The sequence below is a fragment of the Homo sapiens genome, chromosome 4 (genome assembly GCF_000001405.40).
Source record: "Homo sapiens chromosome 4, GRCh38.p14 Primary Assembly".
Lineage (NCBI taxonomy): Eukaryota > Metazoa > Chordata > Mammalia > Primates > Hominidae > Homo > Homo sapiens.
This window is the reverse complement of record NC_000004.12, coordinates 2,027,455-2,045,122: the sequence shown is the minus strand read 5'-3', so window position 1 is coordinate 2,045,122 and position 17,668 is coordinate 2,027,455. Positions and strand designations below refer to the sequence as shown.

Sequence of the window (17,668 nt, the reverse complement as noted above, 5' to 3'; positions counted from 1 at the left end):
TTTAGTGTGAGGAATCCCTAACACTGCAGGGATAAACAGGAATCTGGCTGTTCCTGGACTTGATTGCCTAAATCTGTCAATATAAGCCTAGAAATAGGGCTATGTTCCTGGCCTCCCTTGCAGCTAGAAAGGCGTGAGGAAGGCTGACCAATGGGACATGAGCACCACCCAGGCCATGCCCCCAAAGACATGGCCCAGCCTCCCAGCCTCTGAGCAGGTGCTGGTGGCCGGCACTGGTTCCTGCCCCACACCCCACCCTGCCTGGGCCTGCAGTGACCTCAGGCCCCTGCTCTCCCTGGCCTGCATTAGAGGGCGCAGACATCCTCCCGGCTGGACACCTGACTCAGTCTCTCCACGTGTGCCAGCTCCAAGGGAGGACTCTGTTCACTGTGGATACCAGGCACGTCCAGCTCCACCCGCCCGAGGCAGGGCAGGGCTTGGGGCCCCAGGGCCAGGGAACCAAAGCCCCAGAGGCCAAGTCCCACCTAGGGCACCTGGCAGTCACCTCCAGCCTGCTGTTCACCTGGATTTGTTCCTAACCATGTTCCTGCATTACTTTGATAAAAGGCTCTAATTTTACTGAAAAAGCATTTACAGAATGAATGAAAAGAGGGAGGTGCCCGCTTCAGCTGGAGGTCACCTGGGTGCTGTGTGCACAGGTGTGTGGATGGCAGTACGGCCTCATCAAGTTCCCATCCAGAGCTCCCCAGTGACCAGGGTCCAGGCTCAGGGCTGCAGGTGGGAGCTGGCAGGGGAGATGATGCTGTGTGGGGTGGCCCTGCCCTCTCTCCCCGGGACCCTCTGTCTCCCACAGTCTCAGGCAGCTGGTCCACCAGTTCAGTGGTGCAGGAGCCTGGAGGGGCTCAGCCCTGGGGCAGCTGCTCTGGGGGCTCAGGGGGGTCAGGCCGATTTCTACACTTCCCCAGCCTCAAAACAAGGGGAGGCAGGCAGGGGAGCAGGTACGAGGAAGCACAGGTCACTGAGGTCGGACGTGTGTGTCCACCTCTCCGCACGGGCACTGGTATGGGACAGCAGCCAAGAGGGCTCGCCCAGCTGGAACAGCTGGGGAAACCCAAGCCCAGAGAGGGGCCCAACCCAGGACTGCCGGGGGCGACGCAGGGGCTCTGGTGGCCAGAACAGAGAGACAGGACACAGGCGTGCCACTGGGCATTTATTCACACGGAGCAGCGTGGTCCTCAGTGCCCCGCTGGCCAGCAGGCACACAGGGCACGGCGCTCTGCCTGCAGCAGTAGGGTCTCCGTCTGCAAAGCAACAAGAGGGGTGAGGGTGCAGCCCAGCTGCCCACTGGCATTCCCCTGGGCCTCCACCCACCCAAGGCAGCCCTATCTCCACCGGCTCCTGAGACAGACAAGGTCAGGCCCTGGCTCTAACCCCCACACCCAGAGCCTCCCACTCATCTCTTTCCTCTGCAGTGGCTCCCACTGGTGGGGCCTGCCTGGGGTCTGCTGGTGCCCACGCCATGCCAGCGTGCCCACCTGCCTTCTTCCAGCTCCCACACCACCCGCAGGGGTCCACTGTCCCCCACTCCCTGCCACCCTCATGCCTAAGGATAGGTGGGGGCTGCTCCTCCCAAGAGCTCAGTTCCAGGCTCTGTGAGTGGGGAGAGGGCTCCAGGTCTTAGTCGGAGCCCTCTGGAGTGTTCCCAAGAAGGACACTAGGGCTGGTGGGGGGTGGGACCAGGCAGGGTCTTCCCTGCTTTCTCCTTCCTAGAATTCTCCCTTTCCAGGAAGAAGCTTGAGCCCCGGCACAAACAAAAACTCCTTGGCTGCACCCCATGGCGTGGGGGCTCCCTGTTCATCCAGGCTTGGAGGGGCCTTAACCAACCTGTGCATCCACCCAGGATCCAGACCACCCTGCCCAGCCTGACCCCCCATTCCTGACACTTTCGCCACATCCTCCGGCCTCAGTTTCTCCTCTGCCCTGGGGCCTTGCCGCCCACCTAGGGGATCCTGGATTGGGCTGACAGTCCTTCCCCAGGGTCCAGATCTGTCACAGCCCTCAGGAGTGGCGGTCATAGGACAAAGTGCCCAGTGAGAGCCTTCTGGGGGAGGGGCTAGAAATAGAGTATGCTGGAGAGAGGGGCGTCTCATAGGTGAGACAGGTGCCCAGAATGCCCCTTGGATGACTGGAGCCAGAGGAAGGGGGCAAGGTGCGGCATCTTAAATCGGGGTGAAGGATGAGGGACACTCCACTCCCGCAGGGGGCCTCTTCCTCATCCTCCCTGCCCTCCCCACCCCCTGGGAAGCCCGGGAGGACCGTCGCGCCGCGGGCGCTCACCCGCGCGTCCAGGCTGCAGGCTGTCTTCCGCAGGTCCTGCAGGGCGCGCTGCATGAACTCGAAGGCGTGGCAGTCCACGCATGGGCGGCCTGCGGGGGGCGCGGGTCAGGGTGGAGGGGGCGCAGGGGGGGTCACCCGCAAGGCCCCCACGCACTCTGGGCCCGTCCACCCAGTGCCAAAGAGCGCACGTCCCCACTCCCCAAGCCACCATCTCCCGCGAAGGGGAGGACCCGCTCCCGGGAACAAAGGCGAGGCGCGGTCCTCCCCGCAGAGCCCCGGCCCCGCACGCCCCTGTCGCCAGCCCCGCCCCGCTCCCCGGAACCCGGCCCCCGGCACCTACTCTGCGCGGGGACGGCACTCCCGGCGGGCTCGGCGCGGGCCCGGGCGCCCAGCAGCGCCAGACTCAGCAGCAGCAGCAGCAGCGGCGGCGGCGGCGGTGACATCGGGGACCGGCACGCGGGCGGGGGGGCCATGGCCAGCAGAGGGAGCGGGGCCGCCCTGAAGCCAGCGAGGGGTCAGCGGCGCCCGCCCCGCCCGCCCCGGGCCGGTGAGCCCCCGTCCCCTCCCGCGGGCCCCACGACCCTTGTCCAAGCCCCAGGCCTGGGAGCCCTGGACCCACCCACCCCGGGCCCGGGAGCCCCCTCCCCACCTCCGGTTCCCCGACTCCAGTCCGCCGGTCTCCGGGCCCAGCGAGCCTCTAGTCCGCGCCCCGTATCTAGAAAACGCCCATTCGGACGCCCGCACCACCGCCCTTACCGCGGTTCAGGGACCCCGGGACCAGCAGCGCGGGGACACCGGCAGACGTTCCGCGTCCGGCGCGCAACGCGCATGCGCTCCGACCCGACCCCGCCCGGGTTCCCCATCCGACGTCGTCGTCATGGAAACCCGAGACTGCGCTGGCCGCGGGTTTAGAGGAACCTAGGACGCTCCAGGAATCGGGTGTGCCTGGCCCTGGCCGGGGGCTGCCCCCGGGAGCAGCGTCCAGGCCCATGGCGGATGCAGTCTAGAGGACTGCCTGGAGGAGGCGGCGCCGGGGCGAGACCTCCAGAGCGCAAGGCCGGCGGGAGAAAAGCTGAGGAAGTGGGAAATCTGTGGCTGGAGCTCAGCAGGTCAGGAGCGATCCTGAGGGAGCTGCTCGATGCTCGCGAGGCGCGGGGAGCTGCGCATGCAAACGCTTGGCCTCCGACCGCGGGCGAGTGGGGTCCAGTGTGGGGTCGCACCGCCCGGAGAGAGCTGGTCTGGGGGATCGGCTCGGGGGATCCGCCCTCGCCCGGCTTTTCCCTGGCCCAGCCTCTCCCCGATCCTCGGGCGTCAGGGTGGGCACCAGCCTGCTCGGTCCCTCCCGGCTACCCACCCCCAACCCAGGGTCCTCCTCTCCGCCTCTCGGTGTCCTCGGAGACCGGAGAACCGCTTGCGCGGAGCCCCGACCACAGGTCCTCGGCCTCTCTGTGCCGATTTCAGTCCCGTGAACTCAGGGCTGTTGGCCTTAAAGAGCGCCGTGCAGCCAGTGGCCCCCGGGGGCGCCCGGCAAGTGCGAATCTGGGCCCCGGACGCCCTGGGAGGGATGGTCCCAGCCGTCGGAGCCAGGCCCCCACGCCGACACCGACACAGGCGGTGGCCTCCTCAGAAGGCGCCCCAGGCGCACGTGGGTGCTGGCGCCCCCGCTCCCCCCCCACCCCACCCAGCAGCCCGCGCTGTGGCCGGGAGCTCAGGGACTAACCACACCTCCCGCCAGACCCTCTTCTTGGTGGGCGGAGCCGCACCCCTACCTGGAGGCCGCCCCGCTCGCCGTGCAGGACCCGGAGCCTCGGGCGCCCCCCTCCCCAGCCTAGCCGACCTCTACCCCCAACCCCCGGGGTTCTGGCCGGTGGTCTTCCCGGCACAAGCTGGGACTGCGGACGCACCTGCTTCTCGCGTGGTCAGAGCCGCCCCTGCCCCGGCCGGACGCGGGTGTCCTGACCCTAAGAGTGGGTGGGAGGGTGGGTTGGGGAAGCGTGCCCGTGACTGCCGCTGCCTCCTCCGGGTTGGGCCGACGCCGGGCTTCGGGGACCCGGTCGCACCTCGGGGGTGTGCTGCATCCTCAGCGCGCTGAAACGCACGCGGGGCCCGAGGGGCCGGGTGGGGGCTGCGGGCCGCTGTCCCAGGCGCCTGGGGAGGCAGCGGCCCTCCCGAGTGTCGGGCTAGTGCGCACTTCCGCGCTCTTCTCCACTCGGAGCCAAGAGCCCGGGAGCAGGCCGTCGCGGTCCCCCAGTGGGGCGGGAGCCGTAGAGGGGTAGCCCCGCGCTGTTGCCGGGGCCGCGGAGCCCTGGGGGGGACGTGCCTCCGGGGACGCGCCGGGCCGCAGGCGTCCTTCTCCCCTTCGGTCCCACGCTGCGCCCGCTCGCGACCTGCTCCTATCACCCCTGCCCCTAGCGCCCACGGACAGTCGCGCCCACGGACAATCTAATCCCAGCACTTTGGGAGGCCAAGGCCGGTGGATCACCTGGGGTCAGGAGTTCAAGACCAGCCTGGCCAACATGGCGAAACCCCGTGTCTACTAAAAATACAAAAATTAGCCGGGTATGGTGGCACGCGCCTGTAATCCCAGCTACTGGGGAGGCTGAGGCAGGAGAATCATTTGAACCCAGGAGGCAGAGGTTGCAGTGAGCTGAGATCACACCACTGCACTCCAGCCTGGGCCACAGAGTGAGACTCCATCTCAAAAAATATATATATATATGTATATTTCTTACCAAAAATGCATCTTCATTCCCATGACTGTCTTCATCTCTGTCTCTCTCTCTCTGTCATACTTGCTGGTTCCTTTGGATGTTGTTTCTGTTTCCTTCCTAAATCCATATTTGAAATAACCTTAAAATTATTCCTTTTTCTCAATAAATAACACATATTTGTGCCTTTCTTATAATTTTTCTCATAAAACACATCTTTTTGGTGCACTTTATATACAGAATTATATATATTAATTAGAAGTTTAACTCTTTTTTTGAAACAGAGTCTTACTCTGTTACCCAGTCTGGAGTGCAGTGGCATGATCTAGGCTCACTGCGACCTCCACCTCCCGGGTTCAAGTGATTCTCCTGTCTCAGCCTCCCCAGTAGCTGGGACTACAGGTGCGTGCCACCACACCCGGCTAATTTTTGTATTTTTTTCTTTGGTAGAGACAGGGTTTGCCATGTTGGGCAGGCTGGTCTCGAACTCCTGACCCCAAGTGATCCACCTGCCTCTGCCTCCCAAAGTGCTGGGAATCCAGGCGTGAGCCACTGCACCTGGCCTAAGTTTAACTCTTAGTAATTTTAATTTCTAGCAAGCAATTTTGAACTATCACATGTCAATATTTTATAGGTGAGAACCATTTTGTAATTTTTAGAGACAGGTCTCTCTGTAATTTTTTTTTGTTTTTTGTTTTTTTTTGAGACGCAATCTTGCTCTGTCGCCCAGGCTAGAGTACAGTGGTGCAATCTTGGCTCACTGCAACCTCTGCCTCCTGGGTTCAAGCGATTCTCCTGCCTCAGCCTCCCAAGTAGCTGGGATTACAGGTGCCTGCCCCCACACCCAGCTGATTTTTGTATTTTTAGTAGACATGGGGTGTCACCATGTTGGCCAGGCTGGTCTTGAACTCCTGACCTTAAGCGATCCACCCGCCTTGGCCTCCCGAAGTACTGGGACTACAGGCATGAGCCACCGAGTTCAGCCATAATGTATTCTTTTGATAGTGACTCTATTTCGTGAATCCAACAAGAGGACAAGCACAACGCTCACCATCATTTAAAAAAAATGAATTTGCACAAATCTCACTTGTGTTATTCACACATTTCGCTTATTTAATGCTTTCTTTGATTTTGATACCAAAACTGTATGTTGATATAAACTCCCAGGTGATGAAAAGATCGTTGACAGAGCTGAGGATTTTTCATTGAAAACTAACCCTAATCCAGGCAAACATTTTAACCCAGTTCTAGGTACTGATGTCAAAAGGGGTTGTGATATAGCAAGACACTAAATAACAAAGCTTCAAAATATTGAAAGCGGCATTGACAGAAGTACAGAAGAAATAATTAATCTCAATATTATAGTGTAATATTTTAACGTGCTTTTTCTGATAATTATTCAAACAGGAAATGAGTTGGTAAGGATATAGATTTGAATGCTTCACAAAACATTATCTAATTGAGTACATATATTGAACACTGTATCCTCAGAATACATTCTGTTTAAGTATATGCAGAATGTTTAATTTTAAAAAAATTAGGCCAGGCACAGTGGCTTGTGCTTATAAGAGACGGGAGGATCACTTGAGGCCAGGAGTTTAAAACCAGCTTGGACAACATAGCAAGACCCTAACTCTACAAAAGATTTGAAGATTTTAAAAAGTATCTGAATGTGGTGGTGCATGCCTGTAATCCCATCTAGTTGGGAGGCTGAGGCAGGAGGATCCCTTTAGCCTAGGAGTTCGAGGCTGCAGTGAGTCATGGTCGTGCCACTGCACTCCAGCCTGGGCAACAGAGTGAGATCCTGTCTCCAGAAAAAAAATTTTAATTTTATATATATATATATATATATATATATATATATATATATATATATATACACACTGATCACTTAATAAAGGCTTTAAACATGTCAAATAATTTAAACATGTCAAATAATCATACAGATCATTTTTTTAACTACAAATCAATGTAATTATTACTTATAATAACAAAAATATAAGTGAAAACTTCCATATGTTTGGAAATTTAAATGCACAAATTTAATAACACATAGGTCAAATAAATCACAAGGGAAATTATAAAATATTTACAATTAGAACAATAACAAAAATAGCATCCTAGAAAACTTGCAATATAAGGGCAAAATAGTATTTGTGGTAAAATTTATAGTGTAATATAATTATAAATGTAAAAATGCTGAAAACTTATGTATCAAAAGAATGCATAACATAATTTTTATGTGTATTAATAGACCTAAATATATGTAGTCTTTTATGAAATTTAGGAAACCAAGAACAAACATATGTATGTTCAGCAATTTGTTTCAATTTTTTATCTTATTTGGAAATGAACCAGACATTTATGAATATCATTTAATTTATCATAACATAACTTTAAGATTTCAAATTACATGAAAAGTTAATTTATAAATGTTTATCCTATTTACATTTACCTAATTTATTTTTAACAATTCACCTAGATGATTTATGAAAACTGAGATATTAGAAGAAGTCAAGTTATTTCCCGATTAACTATTTTTATTTATTTTTTCATATGAAGAAACACTTCTAGAAGATCCCTTTCTTATATTCTAATCTAAGCATTTAATGTTTTCAATGCATCACACAAATATTGATGAGTTCTCATCTTAATTTAGTTCAGAATGCTTTCTAATTTTACTGTGATTCTTCCTTGATTAAGAAGTTATTTAGAAGTGTATTGGCTGAGCGCAGTGGCTCAAGCCTGCAATCCCGGCACTTTGGGAGGCCGAGGCAGGTTGATCACTGGAGGCAGGAGTTCGAGACCGGCCTGACCAACATGGCAAAACCCCATCTCTGCTAAGACGGGGTAATTTATGAAGAAAGGGTTTCCTTGACTCACAGTTCTGCAGGATATACATAAGCATGGTTGGGGAGCTTCAGGAAACTTACAATCATGGCAGAAGGGCAAAGGGCAAGCAAGCACCTTCTTCATATGGCAGAGCAGGAGGAAGACAGCAAAGGGGGAAGTGCTACACACATTTAAACAAGATCTCGTGAGAACTCATTCACTATCATGAGAACAGCAAAGGGGAAGTCGGCCTCCGTGATCCAATCCCTCCCACCAGGCCCCTCCTCCAACACTGGGGATCAGAGCTCCACACGAGATTTGAGTGGCGACATAGAACCAAACCATATCAGCCATCAACGTGGTCATCCAGTGCCTCCCCTGTGGAGGACACCGGAGCATGAATGTGCAATGTGACAGCCCTCCCACTCTGCCTGTTCCTGTTGTTCGTCCACACACTCACTCCCCATAGCCGTGTCTCCCCATTCTTCCAAACTTGCTCCTTCCGGGTTCTCATCAACCAGCCAAACAGCCCCACCCACGACTCCATATATATTCTTATTTCATGACTCTTCTGCCTCTACGTGAAGCAGACAAGCAAGCTAACTGATCCGAGTTATACCCACAGGGAGGATTTCTTCTCCACGCTGTCCTCGAGGGCCGCCCTGAACATGTTGTAGTGGAGCTTCCGTCTGTCTTCAGCTTCCGTCAACACTGAACCAGCTCATCTAAGCACCAGACACAAGATTTTACTGCTTTTGTCAGGTGGAGTGGGAAGTCGCACCCACGTCTGGCCAGTTGGGTCGGCTGTAACTCAGACTTTGGACTGACTTGTCACCCAGCTCATATAGCAAGGAGTTCCTGATGGCAGCTGGGGGAGCTGACATCAGTGTCAGCTCAGACTCTTAGGCAGTTACCTCAATCCTCCCAATAGTTCCTAATCCTTACACAATATGGAGCCAAGTCCCTAAAGATGCTCATTGGTTCACAGTATTAGACTTAATGCCTAATTAAGGATGTTTTCTTGTGTATACCTTTACACCTGGACTCCCAGTATATTTTTGCTTTTGAATGAACTGATCCAGACACTCATGCCGCCTCTTAGCTTAACTGAACCGTCCTTTCTCAAGGTTTTAGAGACAATCCCCATCTCTGGCAAAAGAGTTAAAGGAGCTACCGTTAACTATGGGTCCCTTTTGTAATATGTGATGACCTATTAATTCCCAGCCCTTCTAGGGAAGTCTCTGACAGGAACACAATCCAGCCCCTTAATTTTCTGGAAAAACGAGGGCATCAGGTATCCCTAGCAATGCCCAGATCTCTGTACAGAAGGCTAAGTATTTGGGGTATGTGCCCACTCCTGGGACAGGACTTTGACTCAGGAGTGAAAAGAGGCCATCCTGGCACTCCAGTCCCCTCAGACTAAGAAACAGGCCTTTGGGGGAATGGCTGGATTCTACTGGGTTTGGGCTCACAGCAGAACTACTTTATGAAGCTCTGAAAGGACGTGATCATGAGCCTTTAAATTGGGATGGAACCTGCCAACAGGTATTCCTAACATTAGAAGAAAAGCTGGGAACAGCCCCTACTTTGGGACTCCCAAACATAGAAAAACTTTTCACCCTTTAGGCCGGGCGCGGTGGCTCACGCTTGTAATCTCAGCACTTTGGGAGGCCGAGGCGGGCGGATCACAAGGTCAGGAGATCGAGACCATCCTGGCTAACACAGTGAAACCCCGTCTCTACTAAAAATACAAAAAATTAGCCGCACGCGGTGGTGGGCGCCTGTAGTCCCAGCTACTTGGGAGGCTGAGGCAGGAGAATGGTGTGAACCCGGGAGGTGGAGTTTGCAGTGAGCCGAGATCGCGCCACTGCACTCAAGCCTGGGAGACAGAGCAAGACTCCGTCTCAAAAAAAAAAAAAAAAGAAAAAGAAAAACTTTTCACCCTTTAGATGAACTTTTAGATGCTGTCCAGCTCCACCCTTTCACCTTGGCTGAAAAACAAAGGGTAGCTTTGGGCATCCTAAACCAGAGGCTCAGGAATGACCCTATACCAGTGGCTTACTTTTCTAAACTAGACCAGGTGGTGGCTGAGTGGCCAGGATACTTGCGAGCTGTAGTCGCCACCACTCTATTGACAGAAGCCAGTAAGTTTACCTTGGGACAACCATCAGATGTCGTGATCCCCCCCATGAAGTATAGAGAGTCCTAGAGGCAAAGGGACACCAATAGCTAACGAGGGGCTTGTTACTGAAATATCAGACCCTTCTGCATGACACCCCAGATGTTACCCTTAAAGTATGTCGAGTTTTAAACTCTTCTCCCTTGTTGCTGGACTTCGTGTCCCAGGAAACAGATCCCCAACTCATTCACTCCTGTGTGGAAACCATAGAACAGACCTCCTCTAGCAGGCCTGACCTCAAAGATGAGCCCTTGAGCCCCTGCATAACCCCGATGTTGAGTGGCTCAGAGATGAAAGTGGTTTTATTCATAAGGGAGAAAGAAAGATCGGTTATGCAGTAGTTAGCCGAGAAGAAGGCATTGAGGCCAAAGCTTGACCTCCCCAGACATCTGCTCAAAAAGTGGAATTAATTGGTCTAATCAGGGTCCTCCAACTGAGAAAAGACTTAAGAGTCAACATATTTACCGATTCCAAATATGGGTGCCTGGTGCTCCACGCTCATGACGCCATATGGAAAGAAAAGGGAGCGCTAACAGCTAAGGAATCCCCCACACAGCATTGCTCTGAGATCTTGGAATTGTAGATGCTGTCCAGCTCCCAAAGGAGGTGGCAGTTACTCACTGCAGGGGACACCAAAAGGGGGACACCTCTATCATCCCGGAGGAAATGCCCTGATGGACAGGACAGCCAAGGCCACAGGTGAAGAACACCAGTGCTCCAGGCCACGGACTAATGCCAGGTACTGCACCCATGCCAGCAGCACCCTACTGTACTCCTGAGGAAAGTAAATGGGCAGAACAGATGGGCTTACAAGGCCAGGCGTGGTGGCTCACACTTGTAATCCCAGCACTTTGGGAGGCTGAGGTGGGTGGATCATGAGTTCAGGAGTTCGAGACCAGCCTAGCTAACACAGTAAAACCCTATCTCTACTAAAAATAGAAAAAAAAATTAGCCAGGTGTGGTGATGCATGCCTGTAATCCTGGATACTCGAGAGGCTGAGGGAGGAGAGTCATTTGAACCTGGGAGGCAGTTTTCCCTGGCCAGTGCTAGGGAGATTGTGAGGTTTGGACTGGGCAGAATTCCCCACAGCGCAGCACAGCAGCTGTGGCAGATTGTGGCCAGACTGCCTCTTTAACTGGGAACCAGACCCATCCCTTCTCACCCGAGCAGTGCCTCCCTGCAGGAGTTCCAGCAACTCCAGCCAGGGGTTTACGGACAGAACTTTCATCTCCCCAGGTCAGAGCACCTGGGGAGAGTGGTGGCCGCAGTCTCAGGTTGGACAGACTTAATCTTTCCTGCTTGCTGGCTCCCAAGAGTCCCAGTGACCTGGATGAGGGGGCATTCCCCCCAGCGCAGTGCACCCACACTGGTAAGGGGCAGCCAGACTGCTTCCTTAAGCAGGTCCCTGATCACATGCCTCCTGACTGGGTGAGACCTCCCAACAGGGGCCACCAGACACTTCATTCAGGAGAGCTGCAGCTGGCATCAGGTCGGTGCCCCTCTGAGACAAAGCTTCCAGAGGAAGGAGCAGGCAGCAATCTTTGCTGTTCTGCAGCCTTCACTGGTGATACCCAGGCAAACAGGGTATGGAGTGGACCTCCAGCAAATTGCAGCCGACCTGCAGAAGAGGGGCCTGACTGTTAAAAGAAAAACAGCCAGGCGCAGTGGCTCACGCCTGTAATCCCAGCACTTTGGGAGGCTGAGGAGGGTGGATCACAAGGTCAGGAGTTCGAGACCAGCCTGGCCAATATGGTGAAACCCTGTCTCTACTAAAAATACAAAAATTAGCCAGGCGTGGTGGTGGGCGCCTGTAGTTCCAGCTACTTGGGAGGCTGCAGGAGAATCGCTTGAACCTGGAAGGTGGATGTTGCAGTGAGGGAGCCAAGATCGCGCCACTGCACTCCAGCCTGGGTGACAGAGCGAGACTCCATCTCAAAAAAAACGAAAAAAAAGAAAATAAAAGAAAAACAAACAGAAAGCAACAACAACAACATCAACAAAAAAGACCCCACAAAAACCCCATCTAAAGGTCAACAGCCTCAAAGAGGAAAGGTAGATAAATCCACAATGAGGAAAAACCAACGCAAAAATGCTGAAAATTCCAAAAGCCAGAATGCCTCTTCTCCTTCAAATGATCAAAACACCTCTCCGGCAAGGGCACAGGAGTGGGCTGAAGCTGAGATGGATGAACTGACAGAAGTACGCTTCAGAAAGTGGGTAATAATATACTTCACTGAGCTAAAGGATTATGTTTTAACCCAATGCAAAGAAGCTAAGAACCACGATAAAACATTACAGATGGTGTTAACTGGAATAACCAGTTTAGAGAGAAACATAAATGACCCGACGGAGCTGAAAAATACAGCACAAGAACTTCATGATGCAAACACAAGTATCAACAGCCAAATCAACCAAACAGAAGAAAGAATATCAGAGCTTGAAGACTGTCTTGCTGAAATAAGGCAGGCAGACAAGATTAGAGAAAAAATAATGAAAAGGAATGAACAAAACCTCCGAGAACTATTGGACTATGTAAAAAGATTGAACCTACAACTGATTGGAGTACCTGAAAGAGACGGGGAGAATGGAGCCAAGTTGGAAAACACACTTCAGGTTATCCTCCAGGAGAACTTCCCCAACTTAGCAGGACAGGCCAACGTTCAAATCCAGGAAATCCAGAGAACTCCAATAAGATACTCCATGAGAAGGTCAACCCTAAGGCACATAATCATCAGATTCTCTAAGGTTAAAATGAAGTAAAAAATGTTAAGGGCAGCCAGAGAGAAAGGCCAGGTCACCTACAAAGGGAAGCCCATCAGACTAACAGTGGACATCTCAGTGGAAACCCTACAAGCCAGAAGAGATTGGGGGCCAATATTCAACATTCTTTTTTTTTTTTTTTTTGAGACGGAGTCTTGCTCTGTCGCCTGGCTGGAGTGCAGTGGCGCAATCTCAGCTCACTACAAGCCTCTCAAGTAGCTGAGATTATAGGCACATGCCACCACGGCCGGATAATTTTTTGTATTTTAGTAGAGATGGGGTTTCACCATGTTGGCCAAGATGATCTTGATCTCCTGACCTCGTGATCCACCCACCATGGCCTCCCAAAGTGCTGTGAGCCACCGCGCCTGGCCAATATTCAACGTTCTTAAAGAATTTCCAGGCCAGGTGCAGTAGCTCACACCTGTAATCCCAGCACTTTGGGAGGCCAAGGTGGGTGGATCACAAGGTCAGGAGTTCAAGAACAGCATGGCCAACATGGTGAAACCCTGTCTCTACTAAAAATACAAAAATTAGCTGGACAGGGTGGTGCGTGCCTGTAATCCCAGCTGCCTGGGAGGCTGAGGCAGGAGAACTGGTTGAACCGGGACTCAGGAGGCAGAGGTTGCAGTGAGCCGAGATCATGCCACTGCACTCCAGCCTGGGCTACAGAGCGAGACTCCATCTCAAAAAAAAAAAAAAGAATTTCCAACCCAGGATTTCAAATCCGGCCAAACTAAGCTTCGTAGGTGAAGGAGATATAAAATCCTTTTCAGACAATCAAATGCTGAGGGATTTCATCTCCACCAGGCCTGCCTTGCAAGAACTCCTGAAGGAAGCACTGAACATGGAAAGGAAAAACTATTACAAGCCACTATAAAAACACACTGAAGTACACAGACCAATGACACTATGAAGCAACTACATTAACAAGTCTGCAAAATTAACTAGCCAGCATCATGATGACAGGATCAAACCCACACATACCAATATTAACCTTAAATGTAAATGGGCTAAATGCCCCAATTAAAAGACACAGAATGGGAAGCTAGACAAAAAGACAAGATCCATCAGTGTGCTGTATTCAGGAGTCACAACTCATATACAAAGACACACATAGGCTAGAAATAAAGGGATGGAAGAATATTTACCAAGCAAATGGAAAGCAGGAAAAAGCAGGAGTTGCAATCCTAATTTCTGACAAAATAGACTTTAAACCAACACAGGTCAAAAAAGGCCAAGAAGGGCATTACATAATGGTAAAGGGTTCAATTCAACAAGAAGACCTAACTATTCTAAATATATATGCACCCAATACAGGAGCACCCAGATTCATAAAACACAGTTTTTTGTTTTTTTGTGTGTTTTTTTTGTTTGTTTGTTTTTTGTTTTTGAGACAGAGTCTTGCTCTGTCACCCAGGCTGAAGTGCAGTGGCGCAATCTTGGCTCACTGCAAGCTCTGCCTTCCGGACTCAAGCAATTCTCCTGCCTCAGCCTCCCGAGTAGCTGGGACTACAGGTGCGCATCACCACGCCCAGCTAATTTTTGTATTTTTAGTAGAGACAGGGTTTCACCATATTGGCCAGGATGGTCTTGATCTCTTGACTTCATGATCCACCCACCTCGGCCTCCCAAAGTGCTGGGATTACAGGCGTGAGCCACCGCACCTGGCAATACATTCTTAAAGACCTATAAAGACAATTAGACACTCACACAATAATAGTAGAACACTTTAATACCTCACTGTCAATATTAGACAGTTCATCAAGACAGAAAATTAACAAAGATATTCAGGACTTGAACTCAGCTCTGAATCCAATGGACCTGGTAGATACCTACAGAACTCTCCACCCCCCAAAAAACAGAATGTACATTTTTCCTGGTGCCACATGGCACTTACTCTAAAATTGATCATAAATTGATCATATAATTGATCATATAACTGGAAGTAAAATACCCCTCAGCAAATGCAAAAGAAAGGAAATCATAACAGTCTCTCAGACCATAACGTAATCAAATTAGAGCTCAAGATTAAGAAATTCCCTCAAAACCATGCCACTACATGGAAACTGAACAACCTGCTCCTGAATGACTTCTGGGCAAATAATGAAATTAAAGCAAAAATCAAGAAGTTCTTTGAAACTAATGAGAACAAAGAGACAACTTACCAGAATCTCTGGGATACAGCTAAAGCAATGTTAGGAGGGAAAGTTATGGCACTAAATTGCCACATCAAAAACCGAGAAAGATTTCATATCAACATACTAACATCACAACTAGAAGAACTAAAGAACCAAGAGCATTAAATATATAAGTTGCTTTGGGCAGTATGGCCATTTTCATGATATTGATTCTTCCTATCCATGAACATAAAATGTTTTTACATCTGTTTGTGTCCTCTCTGATTTCCTTGAGCAGTGGTTTGTAGTTCTCCTTGAAGAGGTCCTTCACATCCCTTGTTAGCTGTATTCCTAGGTACAAAACAAACCTCAGAGCTAGCAGAAGACAAGAAATAACCAAGCTCAGAATGGAACTGAAGGAGACAGAGACACGGAAAACCCTTCAAAATATCAATGAATCCAGGAGCTGGGTTTCTTTAATCAATAAAATAGACTGCTAGCTAGACTAATAAAGAAGAAAAGAGAGAAGATTCAAGTAAACACAATCAGAAATGATAAGGGGTGATACCACTGACCCCACAGAAATACAAACAACCATCAGAGAATACTATCAACACCTCTATGCAAATAAACTATAAAATCTAGAAGAAGTGGATAAATTCCTAACACATATACCCTCCCAAGACTGAACCAGGAAGAAATTGAATCCCTGAATACACCAATAACAAGTTCCAAAATTGAGGTAGTAATAAATACGCTGCTGGCCGGGCACAGTGCCTCACACCTGTAATCCCAGCACTTTGGGAGGCTGAGGCAGGCAGATTACCTGAGGTCAGGAGTTCCAGACCAGCCTGGTCAACATGGTAAAACCCCATCTCTACCAAAAACACAAAAATTAGCTGGGCATGGTGGCGGGTGCCTGTAATCCCAGATACTTGGGAGGCTGAGGCAGGAGAATTGCTTGAACCTGGGAGGCAGAGGTTGCAGTGAGCCGAGATCGAGCCATTGCACTCCAGCCTGGGCGACAAGGGTGAAACTCCATCTCAAATAAATACATAAATAGTCTACCAACCAAAAAAGCCCAGGACCAGGTGGATTCACAGCTGAATTCTACCAGAGGTACAAAGAGGAGCTGGTACCATTTTTTCTGAAACTATTCCAAACAATGGAAAGGAGGGACTCCTCCCTAACTAATTTTATGGGGCCAGCATCATACTGAAACCAAAACCTGGCAAAGATACAACAAAAAAAGAAAACTTCAGGACAACATCCTTGATGAACATCAATGCAAATACCCTCAATAAAATACTGGCAAACCGAATCTAGGAACACATCAAAAAGCTTATCCACCACGATCAAGTCAGCTTCATCTCCGGGGTGCAAAGCTGGTTCAACGTACACAAGTCAATAAATGTAATTCATCACATAAACAGAACTAAAGACAAAAATCACATTATTATCTCAATAGATACAGAAAAGGCCTTCAATAAAATTCAACATCCCTTCATGTAAAAAATGTAATAAACTTGGTATTGAAGGAACATACCTCAAAATAATAAGAGCTGTTTATGACAAACCCACAGCCAATATCATACTGAATGGGCAAAAGCTGGAAGCATTCCCCTTGAAAACTGGCACAAGAAAAGGATGCCCTCTCTCATCACTCTTATTCAACATAGTATTGGAAGTTCTGGCCAGGGCAATCAGGCAAGAGAAGAAATAAAGCATATTCACATAGAAAGAGAGGAAGTCAAATTGTCTTTCTTTGCAGATGACATGATCCTATATCTAGAAAACCCCACTGATTCAGCTCAAAAGCTTCTTAAGCTGATGAACAACTTCAGCAAAGTCTCAAGATACAAAATCAATGTGCATAAATCACAAGCATTCTTATACACCAACAACAGACAAGCAGAGAGCCAAATCATGAATGAGTTTCCATTTACAATTGCCTCAAAGATAATAAAATATGTAGGAATACAGCTAACAAGGGATGTGAAGGACCTCTTCAAGGAGAACTACAAACCACTGCCCAAGGAAATCAGAGAGGACACAAACAGATGTAAAAACATTTTATGTTCATGGATAGGAAGAATCAATATCATGAAAATGGCCATACTGCCCAAAGCAATTTATATATTTAATGCTATTCCCATTAAACTACCAATGACATTGCTCACAGAATTAGAAATAACTATTTTTAAAAATTCATGTGGAACCGTAAAAGAGCTTGTATAGCCAGGACAATTCTAAGCAAAGAGAACAAAGCTGGAGGCATCACACTACCCGACTTCAAACTATTCTACAAGGCTACAGTAACCAAAACAGCACGGTACTGGTACAAAAACAGGCACACAGACCAATGGAACAGAATAGAAAACTCAGAAATAAAACTGCACATCTACAACCATCTGATCTTTGACAAACCTGACAGAAATAAGCAATGGGGAAAGGATTCCCTATTTAATAAATGGTGCTGGGAGAACTGGGTAGACATATGCAGAAATTGAAACTGGACCCTTCCTTACACCTTATATAAAAATTAACTCAAGATGGATTTAAGACTCAAATGTAAGACCCAAACTATAAAAACCCTAGAAGGAAATCTAGGCAATACCATTCAGGACATAGGCATGGGCAAAGATTTTATGATGAAATCGCCAAAAGCAATTGCAGCAAAAGGAAAAATTGACAAATGGGATCTAATCAAACTAAAGCACTTCTGCACAGCAAAAGAAACTATCATCAGAGCAAACAGACAATCTACAGA

General features: G+C 49.8%; 2 protein-coding genes across 6 annotated transcripts in view, besides 4 other annotated features; one reads left to right on the top strand and one right to left on the bottom strand.

The window, feature by feature from the left end:
- Nucleotides 1–1,158: 1,158 nt before the first annotated feature.
- On the bottom strand, nt 1,159–8,569 carry NICOL1 (NELL2 interacting cell ontogeny regulator 1). Of its 5 annotated transcripts, none has more exons than XM_011513469.4 (5): nt 8,462–8,569; nt 5,031–5,126; nt 2,639–2,796; nt 2,299–2,387; nt 1,159–1,262 (listed from the first exon to the last, which is right to left on the bottom strand). In XM_011513469.4, the coding sequence occupies exons 1-5, from the start codon at nt 8,506–8,508 to the stop codon at nt 1,197–1,199; spliced, it is 456 nt and encodes a 151-aa protein (XP_011511771.1). In that variant the 5' UTR covers nt 8,509–8,569; the 3' UTR covers nt 1,159–1,196. The 5 variants fall into 5 exon arrangements, with proteins under 5 accessions (XP_011511771.1, XP_016863679.1, NP_001135408.3 ...); XM_017008190.2 differs by lacking the exon at nt 8,462–8,569 and adding an exon at nt 7,940–7,978; NM_001141936.3 differs by lacking the exons at nt 5,031–5,126; nt 8,462–8,569 and adding an exon at nt 2,948–3,128.
- Nucleotides 2,540–2,749: a silencer, noted in NCBI's record as "silent region_15155". NCBI's record gives its function as "represses an Ori minimal core promoter by ATAC-STARR-seq in GM12878 lymphoblastoid cells {active_cell/tissue: GM12878}" and the evidence as "EXISTENCE:reporter gene assay evidence [ECO:0000049][PMID:35858748]".
- Nucleotides 2,890–2,949: a silencer, noted in NCBI's record as "silent region_15154". NCBI's record gives its function as "represses an Ori minimal core promoter by ATAC-STARR-seq in GM12878 lymphoblastoid cells {active_cell/tissue: GM12878}" and the evidence as "EXISTENCE:reporter gene assay evidence [ECO:0000049][PMID:35858748]".
- Nucleotides 2,990–3,089: a silencer, noted in NCBI's record as "silent region_15153". NCBI's record gives its function as "represses an Ori minimal core promoter by ATAC-STARR-seq in GM12878 lymphoblastoid cells {active_cell/tissue: GM12878}" and the evidence as "EXISTENCE:reporter gene assay evidence [ECO:0000049][PMID:35858748]".
- LOC124900839 (uncharacterized) overlaps nt 3,209–17,668 on the top strand; it is a 32,909-nt gene continuing 18,449 nt past the window's right edge. The window contains exon 1 of the mRNA XM_047416543.1: nt 3,209–3,407. The gene's annotated coding sequence lies outside the window, so the exon portion shown is untranslated. The remainder of the gene's footprint in view (nt 3,408–17,668) is intronic.
- Nucleotides 3,488–3,989: an enhancer, noted in NCBI's record as "H3K4me1 hESC enhancer chr4:2042861-2043362 (GRCh37/hg19 assembly coordinates)". NCBI's record gives its function as "activates a minimal SCP1, AML or CMV promoter by ChIP-STARR-seq in naive H9 embryonic stem cells {active_cell/tissue: H9 hESC(naive)}" and the evidence as "EXISTENCE:reporter gene assay evidence [ECO:0000049][PMID:30033119]".

Bases quoted from the DNA above. Each gene is read 5' to 3' on its own strand.
- NICOL1 (XM_011513469.4), bottom strand. From the start codon at position 8,508: ATGTTCAGGGCGGCCCTCGAGGACAGCGTGGAGAAGAAATCCTCCCT. The intron at 5,127-8,461 runs GTGGGTATAACT...ATATGGATTTAG, and splicing joins GTGGAGAAGAAATCCTCCCT to GAAGGAAACAGAAACAACAT. The intron at 2,388-2,638 runs GTAGGTGCCGGG...CGCCCCCCGCAG, and splicing joins GAGTGCCGTCCCCGCGCAGA to GCCGCCCATGCGTGGACTGC.